Source organism: Homo sapiens, chromosome 2 (assembly GCF_000001405.40).
Source record: "Homo sapiens chromosome 2, GRCh38.p14 Primary Assembly".
Classification (NCBI taxonomy): domain Eukaryota; kingdom Metazoa; phylum Chordata; class Mammalia; order Primates; family Hominidae; genus Homo; species Homo sapiens.
The window spans coordinates 227,327,989-227,352,134 of NC_000002.12; the positions used below are offsets into that span (position 1 = coordinate 227,327,989).

Sequence of the window (24,146 nt, forward strand, 5' to 3'; positions counted from 1 at the left end):
GGGACACTTCCTTTTCTCTGTATAGCTTGCGTACTTTGTACCGAGTACATGCATTACTAGTTCAAAATTTTAACATCGTAAGTGAATGAAAATTTAAACAGGCCGGGCACGGTGGCTCACACCTGTAGTCCCAGCACTTTAGGAGACGAAGGCCAGAGGATTTCTTGAGCCTAGGAGTTTGAGATCAGCCTGAACAACATAATAAGACCCTGTCTCAACAAAAAATACAAAAATTAGCTGGGTGTGGTGGCATATGCCTGTAGTCCCAGCTATTCAGGAAGCTCCATTGCAATCTAGCCCGGGTGACAAAAAAAAAAAAAAAAAAAAAAAAACCAATTCATTTGTTCTTCTTTAACATATATGTGTACCTATATGCATATATATACGTAAGTATTAGATTCATTTAAACTTACGTATTTTTCATCTGCCACATTTTTCTAAATACAAATCAGAAACAATGACAGAGCTAGTCTTTTATATTGCCTTAACTAATGAATAGTTGTAGGACCCCATCTGTGGAACTAAGATTGGTGGTAAGCTTAATTTTTTTCTTTCTTTATTTTCTTACTGGTCTCTTGATGTCAGGTTGTGCATCTTTGTGACTGTTACTATTTGGAGAATTTCCAGTAATGAATCCCTAATAGTGGTTTCATCTAGTTTCTCAATTAGCCCCTGTTTTTCTTCCCCAGGGACAAAAGTGGCTCTCAATCCAGCACATGCACATTGAAGCAAGTTAAAGGATTTAATATGAAGCACAGAAGCAGATAGTGCCAAATAGCAAGCAGTAGTTGTTACACATTTGTGAGTAAAAATGGTCCCTTTTGGCTTACTTTCTTAGTCTTTAAATCGTCTGCATGCCAAATCCTTAAAGATCTATGTCCCCAGAGATTTTTTGATAAAGAATAAAAGATGTGAGTTAGCAGTCATAGTCAAACCAGTTGCTGGGGCTGAGCGTCCTGAGCAACCTCTAAGAGCTCTCCTAGGCATCTCAGTGAGGCGGGGGCTTAGGGTGGGGCTATATCTCCAGCATGGAGTTTAGGAAATACCTTAGCCATGGTAAAGTCATGTATACTGTCTTTAACTTTTTATGTCTTTAATTTATATATAGTGTCTTTGCTGAAAATTTAGTGTAATTTCCATTTGAAGTTTACCCTAAATTTTGAAGTTTATTTTTATTTAAAGAAACCATTAGACGTCAAATATGTAGGCTGCCTCAGTTACATTTACTTTTTACCCTTTGTATTCCCTTCATGATTTATTCATTTGGGCTTAGTCTTAAAAAAGGATTTTTCCCCTTTGGAGTATAATGATTAGAGGAGTTTTATGGCAGTATTGTTTTCTTCGAATCTGACTTCACATTTGTATATACATTTGATACAGCTTCTCTGTATCCTGTTTGCAAAATCATAAGACAGTGACTGTGCTTACAACTGTCTTTATGATTTTTGAGGTATAGAAAAACTCTTCTTAGGATAGATTTAACAATTGGTTTCTCAAATCAAGCCCTAAGCCATGTTCAAATCCAAAAGTCATTTTACGTAGATATTTACTTTTATTCATAGTTTTCTTATGAAATGAATTGTTGAAATACTGATTTTTATTCTTTCTTTTTTACAGCTGGAAAAGCAGTGTCCGTGTTGTTATGTACACCTCCAAAAAAAGTTCAAATGTGTAGGGGAATTGTTGTGTAAAGTAAACTGAACTGCAGGGTAGCAGTATTTTAATAGCTATTATAGACCTGTATTTACTGTATTTAAATGAGTAAAGGAACAAGCAGTGACACATCACTAGGAAGGTCAGTGAAATTTTATTCAGTTGAGCTGGTATTATAGGTTTGAGAGACAATGGCTTTAAAGCTTACTGCCGTAGGCTAACCATGCTCTTTTACATTTTTATCAGCTTTTGTATTGGCGGCAACATTCTTTCTACTGCATTAAAAAAAAAAACACATGTAAATATGATATTAAATACAGATTAATAGTGTAAAACTTTCAGTCCCTCCAAAAATGAATACAAACATGAGGATTTATTATTACAAATTCTAAATTTGGTATTCATTGCATCTCAGTCATTAGGAGAAGTTTTAGTTTGTATGATGTGATTTTCAGGGAGTTGCATCTTCTTTTTTAGTAAATTCAGAGTTAATGTTATGCATCTGTCATTTAAAGGTTTTGAATAACAGATGCATTTGTCATTTAAAGGTTTTATTTTTTCATGCATGACAGTAATTTTTAATTTTATATTTTTAAAGTCCAAGCAGCTTTCCCTCAAATTGATGAGGAAATTTTAAGTTTAAATTTTATTGCAGGCATTTTTTTAGTTACAAGCAGCATGCATGTTTACGCAGAGAGTATGTGTGTATGTGTGTGTACACATTTGTGTTGTAATTCTATAATAATTTAAAAAATTTGCTCCTAAGCAATATCCTCAAGGTACAATTTCAGCTGATAATTAAGAAGGCATTTTGTTGAGGAAGACATTTTCTTTCATCTTTTATTTTTGCTTTGTATGTGTTCAGTACTTGCAAATGAGAAGTTTCCTTTCGCTCTTTCTATAAGGTATTGTCTTCTAACTTCACTGCGTAGAGGAGACTGACATTTTAACAGTCAGCCCTGTCTTTAAATTTTTCTCCCACAGGGTGAGCAGGGCAGCATTTCCTTCTCCCACTGCTGCTGAGATGGCAGAAATTAGTCGAATTCAGTACGAAATGGAATATACTGAAGGCATTAGTCAGCGAATGAGGGTCCCAGAAAAGTTAAAAGTAGCACCGCCAAACGCTGACCTGGAACAAGGATTCCAAGAAGGAGTTCCAAATGCTAGTGTGATAATGCAAGTTCCGGAGAGGATTGTTGTAGCAGGTATTTCACCTTTACTTAGAAGGTTGCCTGTTAAATCTTTGTTTTATATGTTTCTATGAAAACTTTTGAGTTTTTCTAAATGTTATTTAGAAAAGGAGTTGGAAAATGCAACTTTATACTTTTGAAATTTCTATTCATTATTATAGTCTGAATTGCAAACAGTATTTTTTAGTAATTCAACTAATTATTGAGGTTTTACACACATAAAATGTATACATTTTTAAGTGTGTACTTGATGAGTTTTGACAAAAGTGAACACCCATATAACCACCACCACAGTCCAAATAGAGACCATTTTTGTTACTCTGCAAGGTTCCTTTGTGCCTCTTTCTCACTCAGTCCCTACCCCTCAACTCTAGGCAACCATGATCTCCTTTCTATAGCCAGAGAATAGATTTGTCTTTCCTAGAGTTTCATGTAAATGGAATCATAGAGTATATACTCTTATCTGTCTTCTTTTGTTCAGTGTAATGTTTTTGAGATTCTTCTGTTGTTGCATATATCAGTTGTTCATTCAGTTTTATTGCTGGGTAATATTTCAGTTTGGATACACCATAATTTGTTTTTCCTTCATCTTCATTCGTTGATTGCTTTTTGTTTGAAGCTGTTAGGATTAAAGCCACTGTGAATATTCAGGTTCAAGTCTTTGTGAGGACATATGGTTTCATATCTTTAGGAGTGAAATTGCTGGATTATATACAAGTTATTTTCAACTTTGAAAAACTGCTAAACTGTTTTCCAAATTCTTGTACTATGTTGCATTCCATCAGTGATGAATAAGTTACAGTTGCTCCACATCCTTGCCAACATTTTGTATTGTCAGTCTTTTTAATTTTAGCTGTTTGAGTGGGCGTGTAGTGCCATCTTGCGATGTTAATTCTATTTCCCTGATTATTAATAATTTTGAACATCTGCTCATGTGCTTTTTGTCCATTTATATATATTTGTTGTGAAGTATCTATTCAAATGTTGTGTCAGTTTAAAAAATTGGCTGTTGTAAGAGTTTTAAATATTCTAGATATCAGTTTTTTGGTTATATATTGTACATTGCATAATTTCTTATTTCTGTATGACAGTGATAAATATTAGTGAAATGTCAATACGCTGGAAGCATTTTTTTTTTTTTTTTTTTTTTTTTTTTTTGAGACGGAGTCTCGCTCTGTCGCCCAGGCTGGAGTGCAGTGGCGGGATCTCGGCTCACTGCAAGCTCCGCCTCCCGGGTTCACGCCATTCTCCTGCCTCAGCCTCCCAAGTAGCTGGGACTACAGGCGCCCGCCACTACGCCCGGCTAATTTTTTTGTATTTTTAGTAGAGACGGGGTTTCACCGTTTTAGCCGGGATGGTCTCGATCTCTTGACCTCGTGATCCGCCCGCCTCGGCCTCCCAAAGTGCTGGGATTACAGGCGTGAGCCACCGCGCCCGGCCTGGAAGCATATTTTGAAAGAAACTAATGCTTATTGGGTGGTATAATTCAAAAGCAGAAGAAGGTAAATACATTTTAACAAAAATCACTGTCTTTTTAAAAAACCTCCCGCTTTTCTCTTCTTTGTCTCTTTTCTTGAAAACTCCTAGGAAATAATGAAGATGTTTCATTTTCAAGACCAGCAGATCTTGACCTTATTCAGTCAACTCCCTTTAAACCCCTGGCACTGAAAACACCACCTCGTGTACTTACGCTGAGTGAAAGACCACTAGATTTTCTGGATTTAGAAAGACCTCCTACAACCCCTCAAAATGAAGAAGTAAGTAGAACTTTAGTATCACCGGAATTTGAAATAATGTAGACAAAGGTAAAAGAGAAGAGCAAAGAGGCTTTATCATATCTTTAGCAATATGTCATGAAAGCTTTCCATATGGAACATTACTAATAATTCTAATTTACAAATGTGCCAAATAAGTTATTATGCTATTTTTAAAATTTGAATATTATGTTTTAGGAAAAATGTAAGTTTTGTGGTAAGTATTATTAAGTTCCTGTGGTTTGAAGAAAGAGCCTTTATGGGTAGGTGTTACTTGTTAAATAATAAGAAAATGTTGGGAAGTTTAGCAATAAGAAGTAAATGTATCACTTTGTTATAAAATCAGTCTAGCAAACAGGGCAAAGAAAACCCTTTTTCGCTTGACACTACCCATTCTCGCTACTTGATTAAAAGTTTCTACTGAGCTACTCTACTGCATCACGTTAATGTGCCAGTTGACCTAAATGTAGCAGTGTAGACTAACAAGGTGTTAGTAACAGAGTTCGAATCCTGCCTTTGTCATTGACTTACAGCTAACCTTTGAAGCTGCTTTGCCGTGATGATTGCTGGGGTTACATCTTTTTCATATAGCTTTTGAACTTCTAACATGTTGTCATGAAGCTAGTATGAGACAATGTGCAAACATATGTTTTTATTAATAATGGTACTGCTTGTGTCTGGTTTCATTTTGCATGTAATACTTTCCAAAGAGGGTAAAGCACCCATACTGTCTAGGGCAATGCAATTTTCTAGGATTAGGTTCTTAGATTGTAAGTTTCTGCTGACATAATTGAGGTAATATGCTCACAGTTAGTTTGGATATTCTAGGTATTTGGTGAAAAGCACTAAATCTGAGCCTTTACATGACAGAAAGGCACTAACATACTTGCAGAATTGTATTATTTAACAAACATTTTTTAACTTTTATCTCTGAGATACTATATGCAGTATAGGAATTAATGAGACATAGTTCCTGCATTCAAAAAGTTTGCTGTCTGTCTGGTTTCAGCAGGACAATGATATGAGTGAGGGAAAGACATCAACGCATGCAGAAGATACAAAATTCTTTAATAGCAGAAAATAATGAAAGTTACCAAGATGGTTACATAAAACAAAAGTATCCAGTGTGCTCCCAGTTTAAGGCCCAGCTTTCTAACTCCCCAAAGTTCCTTGGGAATTATACCTGTGAAAATAATTGTCTTACAGTGACGATTTTGCCAGGAAAGAAATGCTCCTTATTGTATTCTTCGGGTTTTTCTGTTGGTCTTTCTGCTTCTCCTAATTGAAAGCAACCCAAGCAATTCCCTGATTGATTATTTTAAGAGTGAGTGAAGAAAGTTTGCCGGGATTTCCCTCAGTAGACCCAGGCTTTAAGACTCTACGGGGTTCATTCCTGCATTAATTGTGATATTTAGTCAAATGTGATAGATGTTCAGAGTGTATAACACTGGGGTAAAAAAGTTTGTGTGAGAATTAGAACTAATTTTGAAGACCTACTTTGCCATTTACTAACCACATAACTTTGGGCAAGTTATTTAACAGTTCTAGGGCGTATCTCTGAAATAAAGATAAGAATAATGCCAAGTGCATGAGATTGTTATGAGAATTAAATGTAATCATGCATGTTCTAATTCGTGTTAAAAGCTCAATATATATAAATGTTATTGTTAGGAGAGACTTAAAATCCTGTGGCAGGAGCCAGATCCTGAAATGAAAGACGAGTTTCTGAGATTAATACCAGCTGCTTATTGAAAGCAAAGATGATGGTTTGGACTTCAAGTTTATACAAGCTTATAGAAGGGTCCAGTAGCCTTCAAGAAGCACTCAACTGCAGTGAGCAAGGGAGGAAGGGGTAAGGGAGCCAGGGTTCTAGTAGCTTCTAGAAATTGACTGAAATAGAGAAGCAGTAAGGGCCTGAGTACTGATAACATTGATGATTCATTCAGGTGTTAACTCAGAATCGATAAAGTGAGATCCCCAGAACATTTGCTCTGTATCATTCTGCAGTGGATGCTAGAATGAGGTAGAGCAATAGTGCTCTACCTCAGCACTGTTGGCATTTTGGACTGGAAAATTCCTTGTTGTGGTGAGAGCCACCTTTTTGCACTGTAGAATGTTTGCAACATTTGTGATCTCTATCTACAAGATGCCATTACCGTCTTCCAAGTCATGATATCCAAAAATGTCTGTAATAGCAAAAAGGTGGAAGCAAGTAAAATATCCATCAGCTGATGAATGGATAAGCAAAACATCATCTAGCCATATAGTAACTCTTATTCAGCCATAAAAAAATGAGGTACTGGCTGGGTGCGGTGGCTCATGCCTGCAATCCCAGCACTTTGGGAGGCTGAGGTGGGCAGATCACTTGAGGTCAGGAGTTCAAGACCAGCCTGGCCAACATGGTGAGACCCTGTCTCTACTGAAAATACAAAAATTAGCTGGGCATGGTGGTGTGGACGCCTGTAATCCCAGCTACTCTGGAGGGGGAGGCAGGAGAATCACTTGAACCCCGGGGTGGAGGTAGCAGTGAACCGAGATTGTGCCACTGTACTCCGGTCTGGGCAACAGAGCCAGACTCTGTCTCTCAAAAAAAAAAAAAAAAGGTACTGATACATGCCACAACATGGATGAACCTTGAAAACATGTAAAGTTTAAGAAGCCAGACAACAAAGGCCATATATTGCATTTTTCTACTTACATGAAATATCCAGAGTGGCCAAATGAATGAAGACAGGATACAGAGCAGTGGTTGTCAGGGGGTTAGAGGAGAGGGGACTTGAGAGTGACTGCTTAATCAGTATGGGGTTTCCTTTTGGGCTGATGAAAATATTCCGGAATTAGATAGTGGTAATGATTACACAACGTTGTGAGTGTACTAAATGCCGCTGAATTGTACACTTCAACATGGTTAAAATTGTGTATGTTATGTGTGTTTTAAAATAAAAAAGAAAATACCTCCAGACATTGCCAAATGTTCTCTACAGGGCAAGATCACCCCCTACTGAAAACCACTGACCTATCTCAAGAAAGGAGAAGGCTTATGAGGAAGCCTATAAAATTGTTGTCTGAAAGCCTGATTGATGCAAGGGATAAATTTGTAGAAAGCAGTTGTACTTGAGTTCTTAAACTGGCTTAAAGAATCCAGGTGAGCCCTTGAGGAGGGCTTAAAACATAACATAAATAATCCCTTAGCTCAAAGACAGTTTAAAAATGTGAGGCTTGGCTGGAAGAGAGGAAGTTGACAAACACTTTCAATATGCCTAATCTCCACCAATATTTGGAAATCAGCTCTAAGATAAGACCATTGCTTGGTGATTCTGTCTGCTGGGAACTAACAAAGCAACTGTTCAATAAACCATGTGATCTGGGCATGAAATACAAAATGCCCAAGTCATGACAGTTTTCAGTGTTCCTACAGTAGACTAGGCAGTGTGAATGAGGAGAAAGAAGCTGTAACACTGACATTACCAGCTCTTCTCAAAAAGGAATCCGAACTGGAGCCAGTGGGGAAGGATCTTCCAGAGAACAAGAAAGAAGAACTGTAAAGAAAGAGTTGGAAAATGCTGCCTGTAAGAAGATTTGACACAACCTTGAACAGTGTGACTAAGTCAAAGATGTGGACTCTGCCGTTAAATCCTATCAATCAAGCCGTGATATGCTTTGAAAAAATCAGCTACAATAAACCCTAAGAGCTTTGTGAGAAGGCCATTGAAGTTGGAAGAAAAAACAGACTGGTCTAAAGATAGAGAGTAAAAGCTTTTGCCCAAGTTGGCATCTCTTACTTCAAAGAGGAGAAATACGAGAATACTATTCATTTCTATAATAAATCTTTGGAAGAGCACTGAACCCCAGATATACACAAGAATCGTCAATAGTTAGGAATTAATCTGGAAAGAGCAAAATCAGTTGGCATATATAAAATCTGACCTGATTTTGGAGGAGAAGAGTAAAGGCATTGAGTGGTTTCAGAAATGGAACTATCTCCAAGCCATGCCAGCTTTATACAGAAGCCATCAAATGGCATCCTCCACAGGATGCCAAATTCTACAGCAGTTATATCCAAAGTGTACAGCCAGAGCTGGAGGAGTAGAAGAAATATCTAGCTAGATCCACCCTTAACACAGATTATACTTAGAAAGCAGCAGCCTTAGAATCTGAAGGATGACACAAAAGCCATGAATGTCTAGCAGAAGGCCCTAGACCTGTAATTCTACCGTAAAGAAGTAGCAGATGGTTATTGGTGCCCAGTTCAATTGATATGACAACGCTAAGGATGTGAAGCAAAAAACCATAGCTATATGACATATCCTAAAACAAATGCAGAAGGGCTCCCAGGGACTCAGTGAATATTTAAAAGGGTCCTGTGGAAGCTTAGAAAATCAAGAACTTCATGAATATGGGTCTGATCACACTTTGGTGATGGTTTCTTGAGCTCTTTTTCCTTCCTCATCACTTCTGGAAAGAGGAGCTGGGACTGCAATGAGCAGAATGGAGCAAAAGTCTGGAGAGAAGAGGAAAAGCTGAATTGTATATATGTTTACACATTCATGCATGGAAAATTCAGAGATGGACACTTGCGTTCTTTGTACAGCTACAGTTTTATGGCCCTCTTAGCACAAGCATGGTCTCGTCACTCCTGACAAATTGGGCTATGTGTCCTTCCCAAAACCCGCAGTCACTGGCTTAACTGTTCTCCCCATGATTCGTGATTTTAAATTTTGGACAATGCACATGTTGGGGAGGGAAGATATTTATCCCAACTGTTCAGTCTACATTGATAATTTGTACCTTTCCCCCTTCTGCATAAAAGTCCCACAGAAAATGGGGGTGAGTATAGAGGAAAAACACGAAGGCTCTGAGTAGATTCCTGAAGAAGAGGTGGGCTTTGAACAGATTGAGAGAATCAGCCATCAAAAAACCTAGAGGACATTTACTTGCCCAGGAATTTATGAACAATCAAATTTAACTTGGGGTGTAAGCATATTAAAGGAGAATTGTATGCAAGCATGCAAAGTGTCTAGTGCTACATGTTATATAACTATGTAGCACTAGACACTGTGACCCAACTTCCAGGAAGCTGCTTGAACTTAGGAAACTATTTCTCAGCCTCCGGGATGAATAAAACTAAGTGCATAACCACTGAAGGATGATTCTGAAAGACATTTTAAAATTCTGCATTGAGGCCAGGCACAGTGGCTCACATTTGTAATCCCAGCACTTTGGGAAGCCGAAGTGGGTGGATCTCTTGAGGTCAAGAGATCACCAAGCCTGGCCAACATGGTGAAACCCCATCTCTACCAAAAAATACAAAAATTAGCTGGTCATGGTGTGTACCTGTAATCTCAGCTACTCAGGAGGCTAAGGCATGAAAATCTCTTGAACCCGGGAGGCAGAGATTGCATAAGCCAAGATTGTGCCACTGTACTCCATCCTGGGCAACACAATGAGACCCTATCTGGAAAAAAAAAAAAATCTCAGATTGAAACAAAACAAACATCCAGGCCGGGCATGGTGGCTCACACCTGTAATCCCAGTACTTTGGGAGGCCAAGGTGGGTGGATTACTTGAGGTTAGGAGTTCAAGACCAGCCTGGCCAACATGGTGAAACCCTATCTCTACTAAAAATAACAAAAATTATCTGGGCGAGATGGCATGCACCTGTAATCCCAGCTACTCGGGAGGGTGAGGCATGAGAATTGCTTGAACCCAGGAGGTGTAGGTTGCAGTGAGCTGAAATAGCACCATTGCACTCCAGCCTGGGGGAACAGAGTGACACTCTGTCTCAAAAAAAAAAAAAAGAAAAGAAAAACATCCACCTGGGATTACAGGTGTGAGCCACCGTGCCCAACCAAAAACATCAATAAATATTGATTGATATTTTGAAAATCTTAATTTTCAAGTCCTTAATTCACACACTATTTGTTTTTTTACTATAAAGTTTAATTTTTTAAAAACCATAATGTCGGCCGGGCGCAGTGGCTCACGCCTGTAATCCCAGCACTTTGGGAGGCTGAGGCAGCCAAATCATGAGATTAGGAGTTCGAGACCAGCCTGGCCAACATGGTGAAACACCGTCTCCACTGAAAATACAAAAATGAGCAAGGTGTGGTGGCACACACCTGTAATCCCAGCTACTCAGGATGCCGAGGCAGGAGAATTGCTTGAACCCGGGAGGCAGAGTTTGCAGTGAGTCAAGCCGAGATTGTGCCACTGCATTGCAGCCTGGGCGACAGAACAAGACTCTGTCTCAAAAAAAAACAAAAAAAAAAACCATAATGTTGCCATGGCTATTTTAGTGGGGGGTTTTTTGTTTGTTTTGTTTTTTTTAGTATTTTTGTTGGGCTCAGTGGCTCACACCTGTAATCCCAACACTTTGGGAGGCCAAGGTGGGCAGAACACTTGAGCTCAGGAGTTCGAGACCAGCCTGGGGAACATGGCAAAACCCCCATCTCTACAAAATACAAAAATTAGCCAGGTGCGGTGGTGTGTGCCTATAGTCCCAGCTACTTCAGAGGCTAAAATGGAAGGATCACTTGAGCCCAGGAGGCTGAGGCTGCAACGAGCCATGAGCATGCCACTGCACTCCAGCCTGGATGACAGAGCAAGATCCTATCTCAAAAAAAAAAAAAAAGGTATTTTCAAATAAGCAGAAAAGTTAATGATTATCACTGTTCTAGTTATCCATTTCTGTGTAACAAATCATCTTAAACTTAGTGGCTTAAAACAAACAAGCCTATGTTTTGCTCAAGCATTCTGTGGGTTAGGTATTTGCAGTTGCCGTGAAGGGAAAAGCTTGTTTCTGTTCTTCAATGTCTGGGGCCTAAGCTAGGAAGTCTCAAAGGCAAAGGATAACTCAACAGCTGGATCTGCAGTTATCTGAAGGTTTGCTCACTCACATGTCACTTGGTACTAGCTGTTGTCTGGGACCTCCATTAGGGTTGTTGGCAGGTGCACTTACACATGGCCTCACTGTGTGGCTACTTGGCCTTCCTTGTGTCATGGTGCCATTCTTCCAAATATGAGCAACCTGGGGAAAGAAAGGCAGAAGCTGTACTGTTATGACCTAGCCTCAGAAGTCACTTTGCATCATTTCTATAGGAGTCACCAGCCCTCTGAATTTCAGGGGAAAGAAACAGATCCTGTCTCTTAATGAAGAAGGTCAAAGATACATTTCATAAGAAGAGCATGTGGGATTAGAGATTGCAGCCATTCTGGAATGCCAAAACCATTAAGCTAGATACATTTTTAGTCTAGTTTTCAAATATTCAACCAAATCTTAATTTGTTACAACCGTAGAAGCCAGGAAGGTTTATTTATAATACAGATGCTCTCCATTTCCTATATGTGCCTGTAAACACTTTTATAAATTGTTCTTATAAATAAGTATATACCATAAGGTTAAACAAATAATAATTGTACCAAGTAAAATTGATACTTAAAAAGAAACTAGAGTAGCGTTCTTAAAGTAAATAGACATTCCTGTTTATCTGCATTATAGTAAGTAGGGTGTGTGTGTGTGTGTGTCTTGTTTTGTTTTTAAAGCAAGTCTGTCAGTAATACACTGCCTGGCAGCAATTCTTGGTTGCCTTTTCTTAGTTCGTTGTAAGTTTTTTGAGTAGCCTTGTATCGAGGTTCTTTTGATGCTAAGCAGCTACTAGCCTACTAAGAATATTTCTATTTCCTTCCCTCTCTTTGTGCCTTAACAGATCCGAGCAGTTGGCAGACTAAAAAGAGAGCGGTCTATGAGTGAAAATGCTGTTCGCCAAAATGGACAGCTGGTCAGAAATGATTCTCTGTGAGTAGAAGCACTAGCATTTTATCTCGTTTGTAAGTTTTCTCAGGATATTTTCTGTACCCATGTTTTTCTAAATAATTACTTCATGTAGTTTTTAAAATTTGTTTTACATCAATTTTATATTTTTGTAATACTTTTTGTAATCTTAAAATCTGGCCATTTTGTTGGTCCTGAGAATTTTTCAGTCACCTTATCCTTTCCTGTGTAGTATGATTTGCTAATTAAGTTGTCATAAGATGGTGAACTGGTCCTTTCCAGCTTTGCTTCTAATGAGCTATGTTAAACAGTGTAGCAAGACAAATAGAATTTTTTTCTTTCCAAAAGTATTTTTTAGCTTTCTCCCTTACGATTCATTGAATTTTTTGGTCCTTTTCATTTTCAGAACATACAAGTATGTTGTTTAAAAGACTATTTGTTTAAACCTTTCTTTTTCATTTGGTTGTATTATCAAATTCTGATCTTAAAGCTACCACAAGATTATTAATGTCAGTGCTTTTTTACTTTTTTATTAAAATTAATGGATTTTTACAAACAAAATGTTCTTCGAAAACTGGTCAGAATTTTAATCAGAAAGTCATTGTCAGTAGTGGCTTTTTAAATATAAATTAATATTTCTTCCTCATTAATGTTTTGGCCAATTTTCGTAAACTCATGAACCACATGTGATGGCAAGTATCATGTAAGCGTCTGTGGAAACTGAAAGAATCAGGAGATGATACATCTCTTCTGAGAGCTAGCAAATCTAAATAGAAGCAAAGCATTTAATTTTATTTACAAAATAACTAGAGGACAATACAGTGATTTATATTACAGCATATTAATCTCTAGTTTGGACCTCTCTAAAGAGTATAGGGGTACAGAAGGGGTTTTGTTGGGGTTAGGGTCATTGATATTAAAGGTAGAGAGAGGTTTTTTTTTTTTCAAATCCTTGCTTTGAAAGAACAAGGAAGTTCTAATTTCTATATAAATTATTTGCTTGCCTTACTGAAATTCCATTCTCTTGTGTTAGGTGAAAGGAGAACTAAAACTGCTCTGATTTCTTATAGAATATTGAAATATCTCCTAAGGTAGTTAAAATTATTCTGAAAGGCTGTGTAGGAAGAGAGCAGGTTAAAATGAATATATATCTCCTTCAGGGAATGCTTATGCAAGATTCAACCATTAGTAATATAAAATTTTTTGATTGTGTTTTCCCTAAAGGTATCTGGTTAGCAGTGATGTCAGCAGGCCCATGAAATCCATTTTTTCTAGACTATTTCCAAATGTATTACACAAACGGTAAAGAGGCTGTATCATTTATGGCTAAGGTGGCTTCTTGATCTGCTTTAGAGTGATTAAACATACACTCAAGAGCTTTAATTATTTTCTTTTTGTAACATTATCCTAAGGCAACAAAGATTTCTAGTAAGCTTTTCCACTTTATAAAGATGTGGCTTACTATTTAGGTTCTTAGCTACTTTGACATTTTATATTAATAAAAACAAGATTATTGTAATATAGCACCACTCTTATTTTTTCTCCCGAAGTATATATTATTTATAGCTGCATTCAGCTGAAGAGAAAGGAAACCCCTTTATTATGTACGAAAACCAGTCCAGTGAAGTATAATTTAGAGTAGATGATATAGATGTTTTTGTATTTACTCAATAACATAAGTTCCTCATAACAGAAAAGATTTACAGTGTTAACTAATACTTGATTTTCTTTTTTTTTCTTTAAGTTGCTTTAATGACATTTTCTAAATTTTTAGTAAAACTGAAAATCTCATTTTTGATAGTAAAAGTAATGAATCTTTATACATTTTCACAGTGAAACACTTAACATTGCTTAACCATATTTTTCATTATGGTTGTAAAGTATATTACCATGTTATGTATGTATTTTGTTAATAATGTAACTTTGCCCTTTCTTTTCCTACTGTTGTTAATTTTATAATTTACAATTTATCTTTAAGAATCTACATCTTACTAACTTTAGAATTTTGTATAATGAACATATTATTCAGTGTTGTTAACGTAGTGAGGAAAAAACAATTGATATAATACCTCTATTAAAATAATTATTAAACTCTTACTATCTTTACCTACTTTAGTGTTTTCTTTGTAACATGAAATTGTTGTGCGTCATAGTGCATGAAACTTTGCCTGTCTCCACTTTATTTTATTCCATGGCTTTAAGAATAAAAGTGCGAACGGGTATGAGAGCAGGAGCACTAGCCTTTGTTTTCTTAATTACTTCGAAGAGGCAATAAGATTGTGGTCAGCTATTAGCGCAAAAGTGAATTCTAAACAGTAAAATCAGATCTAGCTTTTTCTTTGTGTTATAAAAGCTGAATATGTAAAAGAAGCATAATTATTATTTAAGGTGGCACAGATCAGATTCTGCCCCAAGAAATAAAATTTCAAGGTTCCAGGCACCGATTTCTGCACCGGAGTACACGTAAGATTTTATCTGCTCTGCTTTTGACAAGTAGTTGTTTTGATTTTGAAGGATTATGTTAATACTAATCTATTCACCAGGTAATTGACGTATGCTATCCTAATTATCTTCCTGTTTGGCTTTTTAGTACCTCTGTTTCAGGATTTCTCAAACTGTCATTATATGCTTTATTAAGGAAAAAAAAAAACTAGACCATCTAAGGAAGTTGTATATGATTTTGCATGTGTTGGTGAAAGGAACCTGAAATATAATATGCACATAAGGACCAAGCATCCTTTTTTGTTTATTTTGCTTTGGTTGGTATAATAGTTCTCAACAGATTCAACGTCACCTGGTGCAGTGATCCCAATTTTTTTTTTTTTAATTTCAGCGCACTGTCTTTTCTTCTTCTATCTTGTTTCTGAAGGAGAATGGAGCATAAGTGTGGTTTGTCATTTATTTTATAATCCCATAGATGAAAACGATGCTTGGAAGCACTTTTTTGCTATTATTAAACCCACTCTTTCCATGTGACAAAATAAGGTATGAGAATGACTCACTCATGGAGCACAACGTTTTGGTATATAATACAGGTATTCAATAGCTAATACACTTCTTAAGCAACAGAAGAAACTGCACCGAAAGCCAACAGTTTTCCTCTTATTCTGGTTCTATTATTATGCTTCCAGGAACTATTCAGTTGCCATAGATAGTGGCAATATATTAAAATTTCCTCTGTATTTACAATTCCAAGAGAAATTAATATATTTGTGTTTTAGTGAAAATTTTTTCTCTTTATTGTTTTACCCTATTTTTTGGAAGAGTGATACCTCACCGAAGAGGTTAAATTCACAGGTTGGGAAACATTATTCCTATGAAAACTCAAAGAGGTACTTGATTTTGAACTTACTTTTAATAATGATATAGTTATGCCAAGTAAATTTTTATTTAAATTTTAATTCTGACAATTGGCTGGTGTTTTTTTGGTTGTTTTGTTTTTTTCTTTTGAGACGGAGTCTCACTGTGACTTCCAGGCTGGAGTGCAATGGCGTGATCTCAGTTCACTGCAACCTCCACCTCCCGGGTTCAAGCGATTCTCCTGCCCCAGTCTCCCAAGTAGTTGAGACTGCAGGCACATGCCACCATGCCCGGCTAACTTTTGTATTTTTAGTAGAGACAGGGTTTCATCATATTGGCCAGGCTGGTCTTGAACTCCTGACCTCAAGTGCTCTGCCCACCTTGGCCTCCCAAAGTGCTGGGATTATAGGCATGAGCCACTGTGCCCAGCCCTGGTGTTGTTTATGTAACTCTTATGTGATAAGATTTCATGTAAGCATGAGGTAGAGCTATTACTAATGAAGCATGGTAAACATCAGTGCTTTCTTCAAAATTTTCTAATCTTTTCTTTTAAAAAGGTAATGTTGAGACTTTGCTATTTTATAATATCACTGGAATCAGTTTATCAAATTGCATTTTTATTAAATTACTAATATATATATAATGCCATTTACTTAATCTTCTCAGTGCCTTTGCAGTATGTTTACTTTTTTATTTTCCACAATAGTTCACTTGTCAAAACTACAGAAACAGGAAGTCATTAAACCTTGGTTGGGTCCATGAGTGGACGGAGATGAAAGCGCTGTTTCCCTCCACAGTTGATAGCTGTGGAGTACATTTTAGCTCCTGTCAAACTGATTGCTAAAATGGAGCTTATTCTTTTTTGTTTTTACATTTATTTGTAAAAAATACCAACAAGACTGCTTAAAGTTTTAAAAAGGAAAGACAATTGCTAAATTATTTATTGCCTCTAATTACTAATGTAGTTTTGGCAGTCTTAATGGTGATTTATTTCATCTGTGGATGGAATTAAATGTTACCAAACAAGGACATTTAATCTATACAACACTGGCAAAAGTAGTCATCAATTAAAAAAAAAAAATACTCCCGATTTCGTTTTTTGTTTATGGAGGATTGCCATACACATGAATGAAAAGCTAATTTTTTTACTAATCTTTGAAATGTTAATTTCTTTTGAGAAACAACTAGAACCTCAAGTTATGTTTTTGATGCTGGTTTTTGAGGAAATAAATATCTTTACTAGTATTGATAAAAACTTAATTTCATCTTTTATCTTTCTACATAAGTATTTTTCATGTTAAATTATAACTGAGGATCATGTAAGGTTTTTTCTCATTGTATTCCAATTTCATGTGATCGTAAAATCTTAGAATTGAGAGAGATCTTATAGATTGTTTTAGAATCCAACCTTCTGCATTCCATCTTAGGAACTCTTTGCAGTTAGTCTGAAGTAAGTTTATGTTTGACTATTTTATAAGATGACCTCCTCATTTCCTATATATGGACAGAAAATACTTGTACTTTTACAGTTTAAATAAACAATTCATTATTGTTTGTTTCTGGCAAAAGGATTTCTCTTAGAGGAAGTAACCCTTCTTTTATTTTAATTTTTAATGGGCCAACATCCATTAAGTTTTTTTCATGGATTTGAGTTTAGTTCATTCATACTGTTGCCCCAAGATTATAATTCTAAATATTGATTATTGTAGCCTTTAATATGTTAGTATATAGCTGGTTTATTTATCAGTACAGAATGATACACAAAGTGTTCAATTTAAACCCCCAAATGCAAAGGCAAAGTACGGATTTGTCCTTTAAAACTTGCTTGAGTGAATTTAGGCAGTTAACGCTGGCTGCTCTATCAAGAAGAGTGTAAGATGGATTGTTTGTTTATGTTGATGTAGAACTGACCATTTTTTAATTCTCACAAGCAGTAAGAGCTTCAGGTTTTCCCAGTGCTGCCTAAAGAGAATTCTGAGTGTAAGACTAACATATAGTTTTGTTTCACAAATAGGATGTTTTTTTTATTTGTTTGTTTGTTTGTTTATTTGTTTTTACCCTTCTGGAATGCCTGGTATGGGTTTTGCCAATTACCATGGATCAGTAGATAATGTTGGCTTATATGTATTCCCAGAGATTGCCAGTCTCTGGACGGACATTTAAGGTCACTGGTCATGAGACTGCATCTGAAAATTTGAGTTTATCTTGACACCAAATTTGACCTAAATCCTATAGTGAATCAGGCTTGATAGATAGTTGCTTTATACGTTAAGATTTGGCTTAGATCTTTTAAGTAATCTTTGAAAAACATGGTTTTCATATTATGGTACTTCTGTCTTTGGATCACCAAGCCATTCAAAGTTATTCATAAAGCTGTGGAGGAGATTTTGTTTTTTAATTTTCTGGGACTCTGGGAATAATATCAGATGACTATAACTATCCTGTCAAAAATTATCCCACTTATTTTGTAGTTTCCAAACAAATACATGCTGTTAGAAAAGATTACACAGTCAAAATAAGAGATTTTCTTTTTTCAATTGTTTACCATCTGCTTTGTTTTTATTCTTTCAGATGTAATACACATTGGATGACATTTAGCCTGATGTTAGTTTTGCCTTGACGTTGAGAATGTTGAGCCCTCATTCCACTGTCGTAGTCTGTATGTCAGTTAAATACCTCACAATAGATAATCATACTGTAATGTTAAACAGCTCCCTGAAAATACTGACACAGATCTTAAGAGTTTAGGTTAGAACCATAAGAATTGGTTCATTCAGCTTTCAGAAAGCACTGGCAGGGGAGTCAAATGAAATTGTGAATCTCAGCCCACACATGAAAGAACGATTAAGATTATTGTCACTAAGAAGCCCAGAAATGGTTATCAGCCATTGATAATTTAAGAAGTGTCCTTGCCTTCTTTTGCTGTATTCACAGATTTGGGAATATTTTTATGCTTTAGTCATTTAACTAGAGAACATATGCTTACTATAATTAAACAATCAAAATGCTTTGTTACCATTTTCTAAGACTAATTCATCCTTAAATCAGTGTCATTTATTCGTCATAAACTTCAACTTCATTGGCTTTACGAAGTGTTTGAAATGGTGTTTTTATGGAATCACACTTTTGATTCATGTGTTTAAACTTTGACATCTGTATGTGAGAATTCCCTGTCCTACTCTTCTAATCATCCATAAGTCGACAGCAGTGTTGTTTCTTAGAAGTTGGTTTATTGAATTGGAATATAAACACGAAGTAAAGAATGCTGCTTCTCCATGGGAGGGGTTGAACACATTCATTGCTGTAGTTCTCTTCCCTCTCTACAGTTCTTTCATATTCAGTTTATTTATTTTGATGTTTAGGGTTACAAAGTTATAAGTGCTGCCTTGTAGCTAGTTTTTGGAAACAATTCAAAATATTTATTCTTTGACTGTTTTCTTGTGGGGAGAGTGAAGGGTGGGAAAGGGGCAAGAACACTAAGAAAATTAAGATAAAGACTGCTCAGCTGAAGTTTTATAAAAATCTGACTTGAGTGTTTTTCTCTTCATTTGCTGTGCTTGTGTAAACAGTGTGACACCATCGCCACAACAGGCTCGGGTCTGTCCTCCCCATATGTTACCTGAAGATGGAGCTAATCTTTCCTCTGCTCGTGGCATTTTGTCGCTTATCCAGTCTTCTACTCGTAGGGCATACCAGCAGATCTTGGATGTGCTGGATGAAAATCGCAGGTGATTGGCCATCCGTGACTCTTGACAGCTTTATTGCATATTTTTTGGCCTCTTGTTTAGTGGACTGTGGTGTCTTTCTTTTCTGTTTTTACCTTCTAGCCTCTTTCTAAGATGCAATGATTTGAAACAGCTTGCTTTACTTTCTTTTAATTTGAAATTATTGTCCAAAATTCACATTTCACAAGATTACATTAGCTTTCCTTCTGTCAGGGAGAGTATACATAGAAAGTGTAGTGATTTTTTTCAAAGGCTTTTCTAGCCTACTCTAAGTACTTGATTCCACTTAGGGATATGCCAAGGGGCCCCGTCCCATTGGATTGAGTGTTAGACTGAAGTTTACTAGTCCTCGTTAGTCTTTTGATTTAATCATTTATGCTGCTGATATGATTGGATTAATAAAGCAAATCTGAGGAGGTGATGTCAGCGCAGCTGCCAGGACACTTTTTTCCTTTCCTCTCAGCTACGGATTTCTAGGCTTGTTTTGAAAATTCCAGGTGCTATCATCTTTTTGATAATACTGATATTTTTCAGTGTTGATAATTTATCTCACTTTTGAACATCTCCAGGTAAAATCATCAGTAGTATACTTAGACTTATTCATACAAATAATTTTTTTGCAGTTATCTCAAGTACTTTTTGTCCTTGCTTTATTACTACATAATGTTTTAAAGGAAATTCAGGGAGCTTTTTTGGCATAGTGTGGGAAAGATAGAGTCAATTTCATTTCAACTCTGAACATTTATCTAGTGGCTTCTGGTAGTCAGGGTTTGAATTTTCATGATTATTTAATTGTTACTTTTTGCATTTTGAAGAATTTCACAATAAATTAAGCTATCCCTTCTAATAAATCCTGTTTCTTACCTTAGGAACGAATATGACTTCTGACTTGCACTGGACAAACTTTTTCTTGTTGAGTGCTTGTAGTCCTCACACAGGCCCTGGGTATGTCACCATACTTCGTAAGCACCTGTCCATGCTACTTATCATTGTTGAATCCAGGGCCTTTCTGAGCCTTCCCAGAGTTGACCTAGTGCTATGCATTTGGGCCCAAGGACTGAAAGCTGCACTAAGAAGAGCTTAAAAAGAAAGCTCATGGCATGAGGGTGTGGGGAGGGGAATTATATATACATGTATATGTATAGATCTGTTTTGTTTGTTTTTCCCCAAGGGTTTAGACTCCCTTTTATGCTTTTTGAAGCTTCAAAGCCATTCTTGGACTATTGGGAAGCTGTAAGAAGCAGCAAGGTTCAGAACAAAAAGCATGGATTCAGGGAGTCAGTTAGAATTAACCCGGATCCACCCCACTACATAGCTGCATGATGGCCTTGAACAAATTGCTTAGCTTCTTTTGGCCTCACTTTTCTCATCTGTTGAGAAATAGAGAGGAAGGGTAATAATATCTAGCTTTGTGAATTCTTGTGAGGATCTTCTCCCCTCCCCCACCTTTAATTATAATATAGGGATAATGGCCTCCAATTCTTTATTTAGTATGGTAGGAGATCTTTCAAACGATATTGCATATAAAGTAGCTGGCACTTAAGAGCTAATATTTACAAGGGCCTGTTTTCTCTTCCCTCCTTAAAACAGATTTATTGTCCATCAGCTAACTTGTTTAACTTTTTAATTACAATAAGTCCTTAGTGGAGACCAGATTATTAGGTGCGAGTATATCATATCAAATGCTATTACATTTAAAATATCTGAATGAGAGAGATATTTCCAAATCTTGTATAAAAAGTAATAATAGCTAGATGGCAGAGTCACAGTACATTAAAATTATATGTCCCAAAAAGTAAAAAAAGAAAAAAAATTATTTGTCCCAATTCCCCCTCACCAGCATATACACAGTTCATTGCAATAATGTGGAACTTATAAAAATATGGATTTTTTCCTCCATAATGGAAAAAAAATTGTGCCTCAGAGTCAAATGTATAAAATCAAAAATCGTATTAGTATAAACTTTGTATTTTTTTAATAATGAAAAATATTTTTGGACTTTCAGTGAAATTTTATTTCACTTTTTTACATTGTGATGAATTGATAACTCTAAAATCCCTTTTCTGGGAAGGAATTCTCTTTTCTCATTCATTTCAGTAAGTTTTTAAAAGTTCATGAAGGAGTTATATTAATAATGCTTTTCTCCTAGATCTGTAGCATTAGTTGTTACCTTGGAGCTTGGAGGGTTAGATTCTCATCAGTCTTATTGACGCTTTCAGTATTGAAAGGATTTTTTAAAGTTGTATTCACTTAGGATCTCAGTGTTGAGCAAGATTTTATCAGAATTTTAAGTGCCAAATCAGTTTTTATTTCCTTTGTGAGAAGTATCTGGCATGACTTTTCAGATATAAGAAATAGGAATGTGAAATTTGGATAATGTTCTACTTGCATGATTATAAAATAATACTGCTTATAAAATTTTAAGTGCTTCTATGTTCCTTGCTCTGTAGATCATTTTTTCTTTTCTATTTTATTACTCTTGGCTATTATGCTAATGCAATACCTTATCTTTGGTCATATGCCATCACATTAGGTGTAGTTAATTTAAACTAGAACTATTTGGCAGAAAAAGAAAAAAGCTTTCTGCTTGCTTTATCACTATGAAGTAATGCAGATTCACAATTCCTTGACATAAGAACTGTGTTCAGTTTACATTTTAAAGGACGCTGTCAAAAGGTTTGTGTACCATATATTTTTTTCTTACAAGAATGTAGATGATCTAAACCAAACTCAACGTGAAAACCAAGTTAAATCCTAGGTACATGTTAGAAAAGTTTATTTACACAGGTGAGTGTTACGCATTTGGAGAACTGATACACTGAAAATTTACCAAAGCACCAGGTGTGTCATTTGCTCAGGTGCAGCAGAAATTAAAATACTATTATGATTTGGTCCTTAACTGGTTAGAAAATGCCGGTCTCTCCCTGTATCTGTTAGAGCTATGTATCTCATTTTACAATGTAAAATATTCGCATCTTCAAAAAGAAACTTAGTTCCTGTGTAAGAACCTTATTTAAATATTGATAGATGAGTCATGCTTAGCTCTCATTTTTACGAGGGGCTTGATTATTTTTATGCAGTTTTTCCTTAACAGATTGTACCAGCTTTGAGTGCATAGAATAAGAAACCAATGTATGAATAATTTATATTTTTGGCAAGTATCCCTATAAATATACAGCTTGGAAGACCTAGAAATCCAGAGTTGCAGTGGATACAGCGTTTGTTATTTATAATTTTTCTCTTTAAAAAAGTGTATAATTCCTGATCCCCAATTAAACTTTATTTTCTGTAGCAGATTACATTTTTATAGCAAAGAAACACATATTCTGTTACGTCAGAGTGTATTTACTCAAAAAATGTCAGTACGCAAGTTAATGGCGGAGCTTGGTGGTAGCCTTGGATTTCTTTCCCTTTTGCCACTCTACAAAACATACTGTTGAGAAGATTTTATGTATTAAATCATACTTATCGTAGAAAATGGTACTTGAATGAAGTTTCTAACTTTGCCACATACCTGTCTAATTTACTTTTACAATATATGTGTCAATTGCCAGTGTGAGAAGACAAAATGAAATACGTTGTGAAAGGTAACTGTATTATTTTCTGGCTCTGCGTTATAAAAGGGAAATCTCTGTGGTGGAATAGGTTGAATATGACAGACCCATTTGAACATACTGTGTGCATTTTAAAAAGCTTTAGGAAGCACACAGTGATGGCTTCATCTAGTTAACCATTTTCATGTTAGTGCAATTTAAGATTGTAGTTAAATAACAGGTTTCCTAATGCCACAGAGTAAATATGTTAGTAGGATGAGATGAGTTAAAGACCTGTCTTAAGCATATGTGATTTCTCCATGTTTTTTAGCCAGTAAAATAAAAGTCAAACATGTTCCCCCAAAAAGTCTCTGAATCCCTTATCATCTAGGCTCCAGAAATTTCTTTAAGCACTGGTAGTACCTTTAAGACATGTAGAAGTTAAACATTAGAATTTTCTTACATGAATTGAATTATCAGAAAATAATTTGTATTGTAGTCAAAATTCCACAGCTGTGCCAACTTACAGAAAAAATTAGTGCATTTGGTATTAAACATTTACCATTATATAATTATTGTCTTGATACTTAAATTCAGGCAAAACCAGATCAGTTACTTAGAGAATGAGATATCCAAAATAGGATTTAATAATTCTTCAAATCTTTATATGGATCCAACACTCCAGTCTCCTTTCTCTGCTTAGTAAATATTGCTGATTGTTTTAGGGGGAATTGACCAGTGAACACTTAGAAGCTTTTGTTTTCTGATTTTAAAAGATAAAACGTATTGGAAAGGTTACTGCTTATCAAAGTAGAAAGCTAACTGTCCTCTAGCGCCAAAGTATATACTGAGAATGAGTGGAAATCCCCACCAAGTTTCCCATTGCACCTTAGTCTTCATTTCCAGCAGCCCTGTATGTCACTCCTGGCTGTCTCAAGATCAGACTCAAATTGTGGATTGCCCTTCCTGTAATGTGCTCTAGCACGTCTCCTGATCTCAGCTTCAGAGTGGAGGCTTGCATTTTCACTCTGGAGAGCTGAGAGTTTGAATGAGACACAGCTGCAACGAGACATCAGGCACTACTCAAAATTAATGAGGTGGGAGGGAAGGAAGTGTGGGAAATGGAGTTTCTTGAAATTTATGAATACGGTTTTTGAGATAGAGCTGTTGATATCAGATGAGCAACTGTGGTCATACCGGTGCAGCTAACCAGGTCCTGA

The 24,146-nt window shown here is 36.1% G+C and overlaps 1 protein-coding gene and 1 pseudogene across 21 annotated transcripts in view; both read left to right on the forward strand.

The window, feature by feature from the left end:
- MFF (mitochondrial fission factor) overlaps positions 1-24,146 on the forward strand; it is a 32,586-nt gene that overhangs the window by 2,738 nt on the left and 5,702 nt on the right. For 4 of the 21 annotated variants that reach the window (NM_001277061.2, XM_011511500.2, XM_047445127.1 and 1 more), the window contains exons 2-8: positions 690-801; positions 1,618-1,795; positions 2,638-2,858; positions 4,431-4,600; positions 12,304-12,392; positions 14,757-14,831; positions 19,238-19,396. In NM_001277061.2, coding sequence (NP_001263990.1) covers positions 1,758-1,795; positions 2,638-2,858; positions 4,431-4,600; positions 12,304-12,392; positions 14,757-14,831; positions 19,238-19,396 — 752 coding nt within the window. In that variant the 5' untranslated portion in view covers positions 690-801; positions 1,618-1,757. Of the gene's footprint in view, positions 1-689; positions 802-1,617; positions 1,796-2,637; positions 2,859-4,430; positions 4,601-12,303; positions 12,393-14,756; positions 14,832-19,237; positions 19,397-24,146 lie in introns of those variants that run through there. The other 17 variants (XM_017004512.2, XM_047445128.1, XM_024453009.2 and 14 more) reach the window with 12 other exon arrangements.
- STIP1P2 (stress induced phosphoprotein 1 pseudogene 2) lies at positions 7,568-9,005 on the forward strand (annotated as a pseudogene).